This window comes from Homo sapiens, chromosome 7 (assembly GCF_000001405.40).
Source record: "Homo sapiens chromosome 7, GRCh38.p14 Primary Assembly".
Classification (NCBI taxonomy): Eukaryota; Metazoa; Chordata; class Mammalia; order Primates; family Hominidae; genus Homo; species Homo sapiens.
The window spans coordinates 2,766,904-2,785,923 of NC_000007.14; the positions used below are offsets into that span (position 1 = coordinate 2,766,904).

Sequence of the window (19,020 nt, forward strand, 5' to 3'; positions counted from 1 at the left end):
TTGTTTTTCTTCTGATAGTAGCCATTCTAATGGATGTGTGGTAGTATCTCATTGTGATTTTGATTTGCATTTCTCTGACCATCAGGGATACTGAGATACTTTGCATAGGCTAGATGGCCACTTGCTTATCCTCACTGGAGAACTGTCCATTCAAGCCCTTTGCCCATTTTTTAATTGGGTTATTTAACTTTGCTTCTTGTTGAGTTGTAGGAGTCTTCATACATTCTGAATGTTAACTCTTTTCACATATATGATTTGCAAATATTTTTCCCGTTTTATAGGCTGCCTTCTCACTCTGTTGATTGTGTCCCTGTACCCACAAAAATGTTTACATTTGATGTGCTCCCATTGGTCTATGTTTTCTTTTGTTGCCTAGGCTTTTGGTATCATACCCAAGAAATCACTGCTAAATCCAGTATCTTGAAGCTTTCCCTCTATGTTTTCTTCTAGGAGTTTTAGTTTTCGTGATTATGTTTAAGTCTTTAAGCCATTTTGAGTTATTTTTTGTATACAGTATAAGAGTTGTGGTACTTAAAAAAAAATAGCTATGCTGCATTCCACTGAATAAATGTACAATCACTTATGTGACCCTTTCGATAGCCACCTGGGGGCATTTCCAGTGTTTTGCTGCCATCAACAACTGTGACATGAATACCCTTTATAGTACCCTCTCTCACACACAAGAACAACTGTTTCCCTGTCTTCTTATTTAAAATCAACTCTTGGCTGGCGCGTTTCAAGTTTTTTACTTCTTCATTTGTATTGTAACTCCTAACCTTTAAACCCTTAGCACCAGATATATTTTGGAATTCAGAAACTTTCAGATTTTGGAAAGATAACATGGTACATATGCTATGCATTACCAAATCCTCATCGTAAATAAAATCTGAGAATATTTCTACAATAACATAGATTTGTGTGTGTGAACAGTTGTACTAATGGAGACTATATTTTATTTTATTTTAGTTTTTGAGACGGAGTCACTCTGTCACCCGGGCTGGAGTGCAGTGGTACAATCTCGGCTCACTGCAACCTCCGCCTCCTGGGTTCAAGCAATTCTCCTGTCTCAGCCTCTTGTGTAGCTGGGACTACGGGCACATGCCACCATGCCTGGCTAATTTTTTTATTTTTAGTAGAGACAGGGTTTCACCATATTGGTCAGGCTGGTCTCGAACTCCTGACCTCAGGTTATCCACCTGCCTTGGCCTCCCAAAGTGTTGGGATTACAGGCATGAGCTACCGCTTACAGACCTAATGGAGACTATAAATGGCCACGGGTATGTGAGGCCAGGCTTTGCTACTAAACAAGTCCAAATTGAGTTAGATTAGGTTTTGCTGCCAAATAAGTGATCGGAAATGGTTTCTGTTTTCCAAGTTTAAATACAGCAAATGTAGTGACTAAGGAATTGCTAATTCAAACCTGGATCTCTCAGCTTCAAAGTCATGTCACTTCATCCAGTGAAGATCAGTAGCCTTCCTTTTTGAGGTCCTGGCTTAGCAAGCTACGTTTTTCCTAGTATTTCTCTGCTTCAGAGAACTCAGAAAAACACTAACTGCATTCGAGGACTGCGTGAAATGAAATCACATCCTAGAGTCCTGAGACATGCCCTTAAAATCATGGATGTAACACTCAGGAAAACAAAGGTTAGAGTAAAACCTAATGCTAATAAGTTTTCTTTCAAAATGGTTATAATGCAGTTACGTACATTTAGAAAATTAATTCAGTTATAAAATTAGGTAACAGGTGAATATGCTCTCAAGGTAAAAAAAAAACAAAACAAAACAAAAAAAAAAACAGTAAACCTATGGATAAAGGAGAGTTCATTCCCACTCATTCCCACAACTATTAATCACTGTTATCAACTTGGCATACACTTTTCTACCTTTGTTTCTGTATTTAATATGTGTATATTGTATGTGGAGAAATCTACACTTTAATGATTTGTTTGGTTTATATAAATGGGATAAACTACTACACATTGATTGTTTTCCAAGTTGGTTTTTACCCTTACCATGCCTTAGATATATTTCCTTTTCTTTGAGATGGAGTCTCGCTCCGTTGTCCGGGCTGATCTCGGCTCCCTCCACCTCCTGGGTTCAAGCAGTTCTCCTGCCTCAGCCTCCTGAGTAGCTGGGATTACAGGTGTGCACCACCACACCCAGCTAATTTTTGTATTTTTAGTAGAGACAAGGTTTCACCATGGTAGCCAGGCTGGTCTCGAACTCCTAACCTCAAGTGATCCAACCGTCTTGGCCTCCCAAAGTGCTGGGATTACAGGCGTGAGCCACCATGCCCAGCCACCTTAGAGCTGTTTCTGTGTGGACCTTCATTCCTTCTAATAGCCATCTGGTATTCTACTTAAACAGCATCACTGGCAGGTATTTACGTAGTTTTAATTTCTGCTACTACCATCAACATTGCAGAAACCATCCTCATGCACACCACTTCTGGGACATGTATAATTATGTCTGTAAGCTAGGTATCTGTAAATAGAACAGCTAGGTCAAAGAGTATCCATATTAATTTTTTAAAACAGCTCTGGCCGGCTGGGCACGGTGGCTCATGTCTGTAATCCCAGCACTTTGGGAGGCCGAGGTCGGCGGATCACGAGGTCAGGAGATTGAGACCATCCTGGCCAACACGGTGAAACCCCGTCTCTATTAAAAAAAATACAAAAAATTAGCCGGGCGTGGTGGCAGGCGCCTATAGTCCCAGCTACTCAGGAGGCTGAGGCAGGACAATGGCACGAACCCGGGAGGTGGAGCTTGCAGTGAGCCGAGATCGCACCACCGCACTCCAGCCTGGGTGAGAGAGTGAGACTCTGTCTCAGAAAAAACAAAAACAAACAAACAAAAAAAACACAGCTCTGGCCAAATTCTCTCCCAAAAAGGTTGTACCAATTTATATCCTAATGAACAAGGGTTTAAGATACCCACTTCTTTATACCCTTAACACACTGGATATTATCAATTGAATTTTTTTCTGAATTTGATGGGTGAAAAGTGATATGTCATTACATTTTAAGTCTAAGTGTTTTTGTTTTTTTAAATCATGGGGGGGCAAGTACTTTTTCAAAATTGCTTTTATAAAATTAAAGGTTTATAATAGGAAGTTACAATAAAATAGATCATAGTGACATGCAGAGCTAAGATTCAATTCAAGCTATAGACTGGCCTGGTACTGTGAGGAAAATAAAATATATCCTCAACATTATTCAACTGCATAGATAGCAACAAATAAACAAACCTACAATGTATGACTTTACTGAGGTTCACTGCCATAATATACTATAAACAGGATAACCATATGCCCCACTTGCCCTGGAGAGTCCCAATTTGAGTCAATCATCTTGGCAAAATTGTTTAATAGGGTCTTGTTTTATTTATAAACATGTCCCGTTTGGAAATTAAATTAAATGATCACACAATTTTAAATTTAGGCTCAAATTGAGGCTCAATAGCCTCTAGAACCATATCAAGCTCAAAGAGTTCAATTCTGACATAGTTCAGCTAGGCTTGTGACAGGGCAATGCTTGTCCATTGGAGTTGGCATTAGATTAAGTTAGAGTTAGCTAGGCGTGGTGGTGCACACCTGTAGTCTCAGCTACCCAGGAGGCTGAAGTGGGGGAAATCTCTTGAGCCCAGGAGTTTGAGGATGCAGTGAGCTACGATAAGCGTGCCTGTGAAAAGCCACTGAGCTCCAGCCTGGGCCACATAGTGAGACTCCATCTCAACAACAATAACAACAACAAAACAAAACAAAACAACACACAGAAAGAAAGAAAGAAAAAGAACAAACAAAAACAAAGCAACATGGATGCTTCACTGGGCAGCAGAGCTAATGGGATCCTGTGCTTGTTGCTTTGTGTTTCCACGTAGGACGATTACAAATCAGAGTTACTGAAACCGAATGCCCCTTCACTGTATACCATAGGAATACTGGCACTGCCTAAGTGCAAGGCCATCGTGCAAGATTATGGCAATGTTTTAAGATCATCTAAACGTGGACCTGGGGGTACTGCAAGCGCCAGGCTCTGATGACTCCTTGCAGAGCAAATGGACAGGGAACAGACTTAGTAAACCAAATTATTAAAATCAAAGAAAAGGCCAGGCGCCGTGGCTCACACCTGTAATCCCAGCACTTTGGGAGGCTGAGGTGGGTGGATCACTTGAAGTTAGGAGTTCAAGACCAGCCTGACCAACATGGCGAAACCTCGTCTCTACTAAAAATACAAAAATTAGCCAGGTGAGGTGGCAGGCACCTATAATCCCAGCTACTCGGGAGGCCGGGGCAGGAGAATCGCTTGAACCTGGGAGGTGGAGGTTGCCGTGAGCTGACATGTCGCCACTGTACTTCAGCCTGGGCGACAGAGCAAGACTCCCTGCCACTCAAAAAAAACCAAAAAACCAAAAAAACGAAACCGCACATAGTGAACTTGCCCAGTCTGATGACTTCTGACATATGCATACAGCTGTGGGACCATCATAACAGCCAAGATCATGAGCAAACACCCAAACAACTCCCACTGTGGCCTTATCAGCCCTTCCCCTCCCCTGCACTCCCTTCCTGCCCAGGCAACCCGTGGTCGGCATCTATCCCTCCATGTTGGTCTGCATATTCTAGATTCTCATGTAAGTCAGATCTTAGAGGACACTCCCTTCTTTGTGTGGCCTCCTGCACTTGGCACAATTCTTTCCAGATTCGCCCATATGCTGCAGGTTACCAGGTGCTCCCTTTCCTGGCTGAGCAGTATCCCCACAGAAGGGTGCACCCCAGTCTGTTCATCCATCTGCTTGTTGATGGCCACGTTCCCAATGTTCAGCTGCCATAAACATGTGTGTGCAAGTCTTTGTGTGGACAAATATTTTCACTTCTCTTTGGTAAATATCTACATGTGGAAGGGCTAGCTCATGTGATAATTGTATGTTTAACTTTTAAGAAAGTGCCCCGCTTTTCCAAAGCAGGAGTACCATTTCACATTTCTACCAGGGGTGTGTGAGAGCCTGAGTTCCCACCCCCGCCCTCACTGTGCCTTGGGTGGTCGCCTTCCAAAGGGCAGCCTCCTAGGAGAGCATGTGGTGTCTCACCACGGTGTTCAACTGCATGTGTGTCATGACTGATGACGTCGACTGAGCATCTTTTCATGTGTTATTTGCTTCAGGAATCTCTTCTTTGTTCAAATCTTTTGTCCTTTTAAAAAAATTGTTTTCTTGAGTTTTGAGAGTTCTTTACATATTCCGGATAATCTGACAAAGGACTCATATCGAGAATTCCCAAGAAAATGACCAACAACCCAACAGGGCAAAAGATTTGCACAAACCTGTTATAGAAGAGGATATCCCACTGGCCAACAGATGTACAAAAGGTGCCAAACATGCTGGGTGCAGTGGCTCACGCCTGTAATCCCAGCACTTGGGGAGGCAGAGGCAGGCGGATCACGAGGTCAGGAGCTCGAGACCATCCTGGCTAAAATGGTGAAACCCGTCTCTACTAAAAATGCAAAAAATTAGCCGGGCGTGGTGGTGGGCACCTGTAGTCCCAGCTACTTGGGAGGCTGAGGCAGGAGAATGGCGTGAACCCAGGAGGCGGAGCTTGCAGTGAGCCAAGATCGCACCACTGCACTCCAGCCTGGGCAACAGAGTGAGACTCCATCTCAAAAAAAAAAAAAGAAAAAGGTGCCAAACTTATTTAGTCAGGAAAGTTCTTACTTAGAAATGCAAAGTAAAACATCAATTGATACCCACCAGGAGGCTTAAAATCAAGAGGACAATGCCAAGTGTTGGTTAGAACGTGGACTAACTGTCCCACACTGCTGGAGAGACTATAAACCAGTACGGCCAGTTTGGAGAAATAGTTGGCAAACCCAGCAATCCCACTCCTAGGTATATTTCCAAGAGAAATCAGTGCATATATCCATTAAGAGACCTGTCCAAGAATGTTCAAAGCAGCTTTACTCACAGTAGCCAAAAACGAGAAACAAACACCATGTCTGTGAACAGGAGAAGAAATAAATTATGGTGTATTCATTTAATGGAAGGCTATAAAGAAAAAAGAAGAAAATACCAATCCACGTAGCAACACAGATGAATCTCTCAGTCATTAAGCAAAGAAGCCAGCTAAACGATTCCATTTAAACAAACTTCAAAAACAGGCAAAACACTAATCTACAGTGATGGAAGTGAAACTAGCGTGGTCACCAGGAGGAGTGGTATCAATGGGGAAGCAGCGGGAGGGACTTTCTTGGATGCTGAAATGTTCTTTCACGTGGGTGGTGGCTGTGTGAGTAGATACATACGTAAATCTCATTGTGTTGTATACACCTAAGATTTGTGCATTTTGCACACAGAAATTATACTTCAATTAAAACAAATAAACAAGGCTGGGGGCGGTGGCTCACGCCTGTAATCCCAGCACTTTGGGAGGCCGACATGGGTGATCACCTGAGGTTGGGAGTTTGAGACCAGCCTGGCCAACATGGCAAAACCCCTTCTCTACTAAAATACAAAAATTAGCCAGGCGTGGTGGTGGGCATCTGTAATCCCAGCTACTCGGGAGGCTGAGGCAGGAGAATTGCTTGAACCCGGGAGGCAGAGGCTGCAGTGAGCCAAAATCACACCACTGCACTCCAGCCAGGGCGACAGAGTGAGACTCAGTCTCAAAAATAAACAAACAAACAAAACCAGAATGAGATACCTCTACACGGCCACCAGAATGGCTATTTGAAAAAGAGGACAAGCACTGGTGATGAGGTGGAGTAATGGGAACTTGGCCTCTGCTGGTAGAGCACAAATACAAACACTGTGAAAAATCCATGAACACTGAACCCAGGCACACCTGGATGCCCCAGCAAGTCCACCCCTGGACAGCCCTGAGGGAAATGCCTACATCTCTTCACCAAAAGACAGGTTCTTGAATACCTACAGTAACATTTTTGTAATGACGCTGAGCTGGCGTCTACCCGGACGCCCATCACCAGGAGGGCAGGGAACTAAATTGCGGGACATTCACAAAATGGAATTACCATGCAGCAACAAGGAAGAACGTGCCGCAGAATTGGAAGAACCGCACAAAACGAAATGGCGACGAGAAGGAGCCAGTAACACAGGAGTAAATACCGTGTGAGGCCACAGATGAAGCAGCAACGCAGAAATACCCATTCTACAGAACAGCTGGTGTTCACGGTCAGAACTGGTTACTTCTGGAGAGCAGAAGGTGGTGTGAAGATGAAAGGGGTTCTGGGGCACAGGTCATTGTTTCCTGAGCTGGCGGCAGGTCACACAATCTGCTCAGTTTGTGAAAACTGAGTTAATATAGATGCACTTTTATTTCTATACATGTATATGCATATATACACACATGCATGCATATATATGTGTGTATATATATGTAATTCTCCAATAAAAACATTTTTTAAATGAAATAGGGAAAGGTAATAGGTAGTGGTGGGTGCGGTTTTGACTTTAATCAAGATTGTCAGGTAAGATTTCATGAAGATAACATCTGAGTCAAAACCTTGATGAGATAAAGGAGGAAGTGCATTCCAGGCAGAAGGAACAGCAAGCACAAGGGCCCTGATGGCGCTGGGAGGCCCTGAGTGTGCAGGGAGCAGCAGGAAGGCCAGTGCGCCTGCAGCAGTGACAGAGAGGAGGGGAGCAGGAGATGGGCTTGCCGAGGCAAAGGGGGGGTCCAGGTTGCTAATGTGTCGAATGCTTTAATGATATAAGGGTCAAAAAAAGTACAAGGTTTGAGAACCTACAGTCAACACGTGTCACTGAATCTTCATTCCTTTTGCACTTACAGGTTTGTCTTCCTTTTTATATAACTTCTTTCAAAGGTAAATAAAATCAGGCACGTCTAAGAATAAACATAAGTACAAAGCCCAGGGTACTTGTTTTTCCCCCCTTTTAAACACTGTCACATATTTACGCAGCTATCTGTGTTACTGAGCCACCTTCTTACCTGGGGTTGGGTTGACTCATGCACAGTGGTTGGCACAGCAGGCAGTCAAGATATGAGAGTCAATATTAATAATATTCTCAAAAGAGTATGAATTGCACAATTTAATTTACCGACATCCCTTCCCAATTTGGTGGCACCAGACGTGGCTTAAAGAGTTAAACAATTTGGACTTTTCACTATGTGATGAGTTACTTCCCCTCTACTGAGGATGACTAACATCTTTCAAGTTTTTGGATAGACAATACATGCACAGAGTACCAAATTCGTAACAGGGGAGGAGGACGCTAGAGAAACCAGTGTCTCAGCTCCCTAGCTCTCCTTTCTGTAGGCAGCCGCTGCGCCAGCTTCCAGGGTGTTGAGGTTTGATTTGAATAGGCTTAAGATATCCTTTCTCTGGTGCTAGTATGCTGCTTTTAATTTTGCAGCCTCATTTAGGGTTAGATACGGTCATATTAAGTTGATGGGAAGGAGACAGAGCCAGCCTGAATGTCCTGGGTGATGAGGATTGAAGTCATGGGGTCTAAAAAGGTTCTGGAAGACGAAGAGTGGGAACGACAAACCGAGAGGAGGAAAATCATCTGCAAATAAAGCCTCCATTGCTGATCCCTTCTATCTCAGCCACAGCAGCTCAGGAGGAACGTCGTGCCCAGTGTCTCGAAAAGGCCTGGAGCCGAAGCACTCTGCCAGCTCTTTTCATAAACGCAGAAGCAAAACAGAGCTGCCTGGTCTATGGGCATCTGCGAAACTTGGATACTAAACGCCTGTGTCCTACCCAACAGCCTGTTCTAACGTGACGGGCTTTCTTAGGAGAAGATATCTGCCATCAAACTCTGCCTATGAATTAAAGCAGAGGGCCAGGCTCCGAATCACGTCACAAGTGGAAGAGACCTCAGAGGCTCATCAGTGGCTCTCAATACAGGCCAGGCTCAGAATCACCTAAGGAGCCTCCCACAGAGCTGGCAGAGTCCTCCCCTCCCTTCATCCCTCACACTACCTGGACAGGTTACCCAGGGGCACAGGGCCCAGACCCGTACTGTGGAAAAGGTCCGTACAGCTAGGCTTAATGCAGCCATTCTGCCTGCCAGCTGGAGAGACAGAAACTGCCGGTGGCTATGGGGCAGCTCCCCTGGTGGGAAGGCCCTGGACACAGCTGGCAAGTATAGCCCTGGGGGCTAACAATGGGTCTTTTGATTTTTTTTTATGAGACTGGGTTTCACCCTGTCATCCAGGTTAGACCGCTCATTGCAGCCTCAACCTCCTGGGCTTCAGCAATCCTTGCTCAGGCTGGTCTCTAACTCCTAGGCTCAAGTGATCTTCCCATCTCAGCCTCCCAAAGTGCTGGGATTACAGGTGTGAGCCACCGCGCCCAGCCAACAAATGGGTCTTAACCAGAGTGAACACTGACTCTGGACTGGGCTTTGCTTGCCTGGTGGAAGAGGCCAGTGCTCAGAGTGCTATAGAAAGAACAGAACAGAAGACACTGCTCGGATCTGGACACCGACCGTCATTTCCTCAGACCAGGGGACACACTGTACATCCCACGGTGTCCAACAACGGGCAGAGACGCATCCTCCTCGGAGTGAGTCTGACAGAGCAGCGGAACGGGGAGTTAAAACCCTGGCTAAGACAGGGGCGATGAAAGCATGAAGGGCTGGCCCACATTCAACGGCTAAAGGACGTCCCCATTCGATGTTCCTGTTTTGTGGATCAGGGAAAGAGGGGCTGGGAAGGAGGCTGGTGTGACCACACAATTCTTGCCGAGAGAGGAGCAGGCTGGCATAAGGATTACACATTTTTCTTCCTTCCTTGCATCACCTCAGCTTGGCCACCCTGCTCCCACTTGGTGCAGTGATCCTAGGACCAGGTCTTGCAACCCCAGTGCTGGAAGCAGAGCTGGTTCCTAAGCAAGAAACTGTACTGTTTTTAAACCTTACGTCGGGGCCAGGAGAGGTGGCTCATGCCTGTAATCCAGGGACTTTGGGAGGCTGAGGTGGGAGGATCACTTGAACCTGAAAGTTCAAGCCTGCAGTGAGCTGTGACTGTGCAGCTGTGCTTCAGCCTGGGTGACAGAGACTCTGTCTCAATAATAAAATAAGAATAAACCTTACACTGGAATTCCAAGGACCTGATGGGGGTGGGTTGTGCCTTTACCCCATCTGGGAGAACTGGGGTTCACGGTGACTGCAGCTGTACTTCCTGGTGGTAAATACAGCCCCCTAGTCCTGCACCTGTGTAGCCCTACCCTATCTGAATGGGAGTGGACTGAGGGGAGACACTGGCTAGGTTATTGCTGCCTGCAATCCAGACCAGCACAGTGACTGAACCTAATGCTCCTTTCAAACGTGGACGCTTGGGTATAAATGAAGAAAAGGAGGACTAGTAGCAGAGGGTAACGGAATGAATAAATGGGCCATATGATAGAAATCCAATGGTATATTAATACCTCGAAAGCAGCTTCAAAACAAGAGATGATATTGTCTCTTAGTTCAATTATACCAGATGCCTGAAAGGGCGAAGCTATATGTTTGGAAATGGAAAGGAAGACCAAATGTATACTTCACAATATCACAACACTGTTATGAATGGAATGGCTGTGCCTCCCCAAATTCCTATCCCTAATTCCCAGTGGGATGGTATCTGGAGGTGGGGTCTTTGGGAGGTGATTAGGGTTAGAAGAGGTCATAGGTGGGAGCATGACCTGATTAGTGCCCTTATAAGAAGACGGAGAGACATCAGAGCTTCTCTCTCTCTCCACCATGTGAGGAAGCAGCAGGAAGGTGGCTGTCTGCAAGTCAGGAAGAGAGCCCTCACCAGGAACCCCACCGGCCAGCACCTTGATCTTGGGTTCACAGCCTCTGAACTGTGAAAAATATATGTCTGTTTTCAAGCCACACAGTGTGTGGAACTGTTATGGCAGCTCCAGCTAAGACAGAAAACATGATGAAAATACTACTCCTGGGGAATCTGCCCACTCAGATGTGAAAGGCTCATAAATAAACTCAGATTTGTTTCTAAACCTTGAACTCATAAGCAAGGAAATTTTAAAAAGATCAACTAAAACTTGTGAGGTGTCCCTGGTGATCCCAGCAAAGATGTCTTCCAACTTCAGAAGAGGAGGGCCTTTCAATCTCCTATTTACCAAACAGCAAATCACAACTGCACTCACATCACAGGAATGTCTCCGAGGAAATGCTCAAACACGAGCTACACTATGCCGCCTTAGCGGCATAGTCTTTTCCAAAGACTCGCTGGGATACATGTGTCCAGTTGTTAATACTGGTCTGCTAGAAGGTTTAGTGAGAAGAGACTTAAAAAAAAGCATATTTCGCCACAATTTTTTCAAAAAGAGAAAAGAAAAAAGTCATAACAACTTAATAAATCAAGCATTTCATTTGGCTTAAACGCAAAATTCTCACAAAACCTCTCCTAAGAACAGCCAGAATAGGGCAGGCCTTGCTTTTTCACAAGAGCAGGCTGGCTTCTGAGTCTCCGATCACCACTTATGGATTGCATCAGCCCATCTGTGCCACCTCCCTCCTATCTCTTTTGAGAATTTCATCTTTCATTCAAAACCACCCAAGTTAAAGTCTGATTTCTTCCATGACACTCACACCAACAGCTCCCTACTTACATAGAGCTGGAGGCTAAATTGTGATCATCTCTCCACAAGTTGGGTAATACAGGCCCCTACTTCAGGAGTTCAGACCCCTGGCTCTCAGGGAGATGAATGGAAGAAAATCGTTCCTCCTATAGCTCATAGCCCACTGCTGAGCACAAAAGAAATTCAAAATCAGAGAGCCAGGTAGGTAAACAAATACTACTTGCTAAGCATGGTGCTAGATGTTTTCACATCTCTCAGAGTCAGTCTAAAAGGAGGGTATTAATACCGCCTTCCTTGATAGCTAAGGACTGAAGCTTCAATAATATGTAGCGAAAATGGTGAGAGTCCAGGGCTCTTCTCATTCCCTGGGCTTTACTCAGTTCTTGTGGAAGCTGATTAAATTTGTTGAAATCTGGTAAAAGTGGATGGGGAATGGGGTTGATACTACCACCCTTTGAAACTTTCAGATTAAGGGTACGTTATATTTAACCAGAATTATTTCAACTGTAAGCCTTCTTTCAGGAATAATACATAAACTTTATGGGAGGCCGAGGCAAGAAGACTGCTTCACAGTGAGACTATCTCTACAAAAAATAAAATTAAATTAGCTGAGGCTGGGCGTGGTGGCTCCTGCCTGTAATACTAGCATTCTGGGAGGCCAAGGCGGGTGAATCACTTGAGCCCAGGAGTTTGACCCCAGCCTGGGCAACATGGCTGTTTCTCTACAAAAAATTAAAAAGCCTGATGTGGTGGCATGCCTGTAGTCCCCCAGCTACTCAGGAGGCTGACGTGAGGAATGCTTGAGCCCAGGAGGCAGAGGTTGCAGTGAAACAAGATTGCGCCACTATAATCCAGCTTGGGTGACAGAGCCAGACCCTGTCTCATAAATAAATAAATAAGTTGGGTGTGGTGGTGCACACCGGTAGTTCTAGTTACTCGAGAGACTGAAGTGGGAGAATTGCTTGAACCTGCGAGTTCGAGGCTACAGTGAGCTATGATCACGCTACTACACTCCAGCCTGGGAGACAGAGTGAGACTCTCAAAAAAAAAAAATTCCTGTCACAGTAATTTTTATAATTCACTCTAAAATTGTTCTCATGGCCTTTTCTGATTATAAAAACACTTCATTTTTAAAAACTTTTTAACTTTTTTAAGACAGAGTCTTGCTCTGTCACCCAGGTTGGAGTGCAGTGGTGTGATCTTGGCTCACTACAACTTCAGCCTCCGGGGTTCAAGTGATTCTCATGCTGCAGCCTCCTGAGTGGCTGGATTACAGACATGTACCACCACGCCTGGATAATTTTTGTATTTTTAGTAGAGATGGGGTTCTGCTGTGTTGGCCAGGCTAGTCTCAAACTCCTGGCCTCATGTGATCTGCCCACCTCAGCCTCCCAAAGTGGTGGGATTACAGGAGTGAGCCAGCAGGCTTGGCGAATAATACATGTTTTGGCCACAGTTAAAAATAAAAATAATTTAGAAAGTGAATGTTTTCATAAACATATATAAAAATAAGAAAAATAGAACAACTGAGGTAGCTCAGTGGATGTACTTACACCACGTACTAGTTTTTTACACATTTCTGTGTACATATATATATATATATATATATATATATATATATATATATATGCCTGTTTTCCCTTCTAAACAGAAACAGGATATATATTTTGCTACTTACCTCACTTTTTCACTTGATGCGTCAGGGACTTCTTTCCATGTCAACATAGAGAGTTCTCTCTCAGCTTTTCTAACCGCTGGACAATATTCTATCACATGGTCAGTATTCCAGTTTAGTCAACCAACCCCTACCAGTGAATAATTAGGTTGTTTCCTTTTTGTTTTTATAAGCAATACAATAAACATCCTTGCAAATAATCTTTGCATATTGATCTGATTTTCCTTTTTAAAATTATTATTGTAAATTATAACAATATAGGAAAAATGCATAAAAGATACATGCACTAACCGATAAAATAGCAATCACAAAGGTCAACAAATGGACTGCAACCAGCACCTCAGAAGCACCCTTATCAAAACACTCGCTCTGTCTTCTAGAAGCAACCACTGTCTTGATGCTGGTATCCTTTCCAGTAGTTTTATCTCCTGTGTATGCACTCTTCAACAATGTGGTTGAATTCTCAATGTAATCACACTATATATGTGCTTATGTATGAATGTAAACACACTATATGTACTCTTTTGTGTCTGGTATCTTTGGGCCAACATCATAATGTTTGTGAGATTGATCATATTGCTGAGAGCTGTCCTCTGCTCATTTTTCCTGCAGCATTCAGAAATTAAAAAAAAACAATTTACTCACCCATTTTACTGTTGAGGAACATTTGGATTTTTTCAATTATATATAATGCTATGAACATTTACATACATGGCTTTTCATACCTAGGATTGGGATTACTGAGCCACTGGAAACACATATCTTAACTTTAGTAAATCATACCCATCTGTTTTCCAAACTAGAGAAACCAACTTGTGTTCCCACCAGCACTGCAGTGTATGAGAGTTCCTGTCATCCCACATCCTTGCCAATTCTTGGCATTGTCACGTTTTAATTTTTGCAAATCTGTGAGTATATCATAATATCATCTCCTCTTCTCAGAAGTGCCTATTGAAAGCCGTAACTCATACTGAATTGCCTATTTCTGGATACTCACACCTTTGTAGGTTACAGATAGCAAATGACTTCACTGTCACAGCTGGTGCTATCTTTGAAAATATACAGCAGTTCTTAATTTTATGGGAGTCAAATTATTAATCTTTTCCTCTTGGATTTGTACTTTTAGTTCTTTAAGAAATTCTCTCCTACATCAAGATCATGAAGATTCTCTCATATATATGTGTATATACATACACACACACACACACGCACACGTTAAATACATGGTTTTGCCTTTCAAATTTGGTCTCTAATCCATTTCAAAGTAAGTGTCTGTGTGTGTGTGTGTGTGTGTGTGTGTGTGTGTGTGTAGGGTACAATTTCATTGTTCTTTATGTGGTTTGACTACTCTACTTATCTAATTCTGCACCAACACCTCCACTGTATTGAAGTTCTTAAAAAGATAAATCTTAATATCTGATAATTAGAGAAAGGGCTAGCAAACTTTTCCAGTAAACAGCCAAATGGTAAATATTTCAGGCTTTGTGGGTCTAAAGACATGTAGCTGTCTTTACTGTATATTCTTTTTTCTCAAGCCTTGAAAAATGTAAAGAACAATCTTATTTCATGGGTGGGCGTACAAAAATAAGCTACATGAAATTTAGCTTGCAGGCCAAAGTTTGCTAATCTCTGTGATAGAGCAAGTCCATGTTATTCTTCATCAATAACAACTACAACTTGACATCATTACTCCTCAAGGGAACGCAAATCAAAACCACAATGAGGAAAAGAAAACAAAGCTCAAAGACTCACAGTTCCCACTTTGAAAACTTACTACAAAGCTACAGTAATCAAAGTGATGTGTTCCTGGCATAAGCATAGATGTATAGATTGAGAGAATAGAATTTGGAGTCTAGAAATAAACCCACATATCTATGGCCAATTGATTTTCAACAAGAATGCCATTAAATGGGGAAAGAGGAGACATTTAACAAATTGTGCTAGAACAACTGAGTGTCCACATGTAGAAGAATGGATTTGGACCCCTACCTCAAACCATATACAAAAATTAACTCAAAATTTACCAAAAACCTAAATAGAAAATAACTTAAACATAAAAAGAAAATGTAGGTGTAAATCTTAATAACCTTGGATTTGGCAACAAATTCTTAGCTTTGACACCAAAAGTGAAAACAAAAGAAAAAAGAGATGTTAGTCTTCATATTATTTCTTACACATTTCAAACCTTCCATCAGAAATCACATTCTTCCTGTTTCAAGTGTAGTTCCTATGATTCCTGTTGGGAGGATTTGCTACCCATCAACTCTCTGTGTTTGGAAATGTCTCTGTTCTGCCTTCTATTTTACAAAACTCAATTAGATTGAGAGTTAAGCTCTCTTGTAGACACCACCTCGAGATATCATTCCACTCTTTCTGGCGCCTGCTGTAGCTTTTGGGAAGAAAGCTGTCAAACTGTCACTCCTTGAAAGTTCACGTCTACCTTTTTCTGTAGCTGCTTTTAAGATTTTCCTCTTTGTGTTTGGTTTTCTGCAGTTTTATTATGTCTATAGTGTTTTGGTTTTTTTTTTTTAATCTTGCTTGGGATTCACTGGGTTTCTTGACTGTTTGATATGATTTACCAGCCACCGTCACTTCAAACATGGTGCTGCCCCGACTTTTCTTCCTGTGACTCAGTGTTAAACGTGCATTACACCTTCTGACCCCATCCTCCTTCCTCCTGACCTTTTATATTCTCCCTTTTTGTCTCTCAGCTCTACATTCTTGATACTTTCTTCCATTATTTCTTCTAGTTTACTAATACTTTGTTGCCTAACATAGCCATTGAGTTTTTTAGTTTTAAATGTTCAATTCTAGAATTTCTAGTTTGTTCTTTTAAACATATGCCATGTCACTTTAAATAGTGTCCAGTTTTCTAACTTTTATCTTTAAACAAGTTAGGGCAGCTGTTTAAAGACCGGTGTCGGAGTCCAATATCTGAAGCATGTAGGTCTGACCTGACCCCACCGTCTGCTGCAGCCTCTGGTTCCAGGCACTGTGTTGTCTACCTGGGAGTCTGGCTGTCTCTGTGATGCCCCTGCCCCTAAGAAACCATCTGTGGGGAATCTCCATGGTTTAGGGTTAAAGTGTCTTTCCAGAGAAAGTTGGCTTCTACCAGGCACTTGGGTATGTTATCTGTTTGGTGTCACTTTAAACTGGATCCATCGCACAGGGGTTGCCTGGACTGCCATGGTGCTAGGTATGTGGGTGACAGGTCTCCCGGGGAGCTGGCCCATGGGTGGGATTTAGTTTGTCTCCTCCCTCTCCCTGCCCTGCTTCTCTGCTGTCCCCTCTTTGTGCGTATCCTTTCCATTCATCCTCACCCTCTGAGGTCCCCATTCATTACACGGCAGTCTCCTATCAGATCCCCCAACTTCATTTCCACCTCCACTTCGGGACCCCCAAAAGATCTGTCAGAAACTGCAGCTCAGGCTCTGCTTCTCCCACCAGGCTCTTGTAAGGTTTCGCCTGGTGGTGCTTTACAATCCTGTCAGTGCTTAGAGGCTGTAACACATTTATTTATTTATTTATTTATTTATTTATTTATTTATTTATTTATTTATTTTGAGATGTAGTATTGCTCTGTCCCCCAGGTTGGAGTGCAGTGGGGCAATCTCGGCTCACTGCAACCTGCGCCTCCTGGATTCAAGCGATTCTCTTGCCTCAGCCTCCCGAGTAGGTGGGATTACAGGCACCCACCACCATGTCTGGCTTATTTTTGTATTTTTAGTAGAGACAGGGTTTCACCACATTGGCCAGGCTGGTCTCAAACTCCTGACTTCAAGTGATCCACCTTCCTCAGCCTCCCAAAGTGCTGGGATTACAGGCGTAAGCCACCATGCCTGGCCTAATAAATTTATTTTTAACATTTTATCTAGCATTTTAAATTATTTTCAGCAGGTCTTTAGATAACTAGTCCACTATAACTAGAAGCTGGAAATCATTTTTATCTCATTTTATTTAATTTAAAATTTAACATTTATTTTATTATTTTATTTTGACACAGGGTCTTGCTTTGTCACTGAGGCTGAGGTGCAATGGTGTGATCATGGCTCACTGCAGCCTCAACCTCCCAGGCTCATGGGATCCTCCCACCTCGGCTTCCCGAGTAGTTGGAACTATAGTCACATGCCACCACACCTGGATAATCTTTTTGTATTTTTGGGAGAGAAGGGGTTTTGCCCCGTTGCCCAGGCTGGTCTTGAACTCTGGACTCAAGCAATATGCCTGCCTCACCTACCAAAGGGCTGGGATTACAAGTATCAGCCACCATGCCCAGCCAAGCTGGAAATCTTACAATTACTATATTAGGATAAATTCCTGGGACGATGAATTACTGCCAAAGAATAGAATAACACTTTATGTTTTGACACAAACTGTGGAACTTCCTCACTGTATACTCCTACCTTTTATGTATGATAGTACCTACTTCCTGAGACCCAATCAGCCCAAAGCATTATTCTTTAAAATCACTCCCAACCTAGCTGACAAAGCTATTTCACCATGACTTTAATTTATGTTTCCACAATGAGTGGCATGGATGATGACCCTCTTCCTTCTTTCCTTCGCTTTCTCCTGGGGATGCATCCCTTGTGTACTGATTCGCAAGCGCCCTCTCACTCCTTTAGCATACAGAAAACACCTTTGTTATAGGTTGCAATTTTCCCCAAATTTGTCATTTGACTCTTAATTTATGTTGACTTTTGCCATACAAATGTTAAAAACGTTTATGTATTCAAATCCATCATTATTTTCCTTTAGGGTTTCTGGTCTTGCTGTCACATAAAGTATTTCATTATTAACTCTATTACATCACACATTTTTACCCTGGGCCACTATGTACTGGCTTAAGGATCTATGTTAAAATACTTAACACTTCATTTTTTTCCCCTAGAGGAGTAGATTTTTAGAGGTTTATAAGTATATAATACTCTTCGTGATTAATGAAATGAAGGGGAAAGGCCAACATCACAGGCAGAAACACATTAAGTTTCTCACCAGTGCAGGATCCAAGAATAGCAAATACCTCAGCTTCCTGCTTCTGTATCCTCAGGCAAGAGCCACCCCAGAGGAAAAGCAAGTGTCCCACCCGCTCCAGAGCTGGGATCAGCACCCAAGTAAGCATGAGACTACCCAGGCTACTCTAAATTCTTCTCAAGCCTGTCTGGGTCATTCATTAGCTTTGTCACGTCAGGCAAATTTCTTCAAGTCTCAGACCTCAAACGGTGTCAATATCAAATAGGATTTGGTAGGGGAATTTCTCAGGTCCTTCTGACTGTAACAGTTAAGAAAGCTCTGAATCACACTATGGAAGTTAATTTAGCGTGAAAGGTTAAAAACGGTCACACATATATACAGTACCAAACCAAAACTAAGAAAGTAAATTCTGATGGTTTAATATCTGAAATAACTCTATTTTCTCTAGAAATTATTCACTTATTTCTGACATTGTGACTTATCCTATGAGCTGAAAAGTGATGCGGTCTTCATGTGTAAGTGTATTGTACATGTGCATATACACACACATTTTTCTTCATGTGTAAGTGTATTGTGTATGTGCATACACACACACATTTTTCAGATAAACAAGCTGTGGTACCTCCATACTAGGGAATACTACTCAGAAATAAAAAGGTACAATGGCTCATGCCTGTAATCCCAGCACTTTGGGAGACTGAGGTGGGTGGATCACCTGAGTTCAGGAGTTCAAGACCAGCCTGGCCAACATGGCGAAACCATATCTCTACTAAAAATACGAAAAATAAAAAAATAAATAAAAAATTAGTC

General features: G+C 42.9%; 1 protein-coding gene across 3 annotated transcripts in view, besides 2 other annotated features; it reads right to left on the minus strand.

Annotated features, from left to right (window-relative positions):
- GNA12 (G protein subunit alpha 12) overlaps window positions 1-19,020 on the minus strand; it is a 116,204-nt gene that overhangs the window by 38,799 nt on the left and 58,385 nt on the right. The gene's annotated exons all lie outside the window — the stretch shown is intronic.
- Window positions 4,543-4,687: a silencer, noted in NCBI's record as "fragment chr7:2811080-2811224 (GRCh37/hg19 assembly coordinates)". NCBI's record gives its function as "represses an EF-1alpha promoter that drives an FKBP-Casp9 reporter gene in an ReSE screen in K562 erythroleukemia cells {active_cell/tissue: K562}" and the evidence as "EXISTENCE:reporter gene assay evidence [ECO:0000049][PMID:32094911]".
- Window positions 6,024-6,073: an enhancer, noted in NCBI's record as "active region_25552". NCBI's record gives its function as "activates an Ori minimal core promoter by ATAC-STARR-seq in GM12878 lymphoblastoid cells {active_cell/tissue: GM12878}" and the evidence as "EXISTENCE:reporter gene assay evidence [ECO:0000049][PMID:35858748]".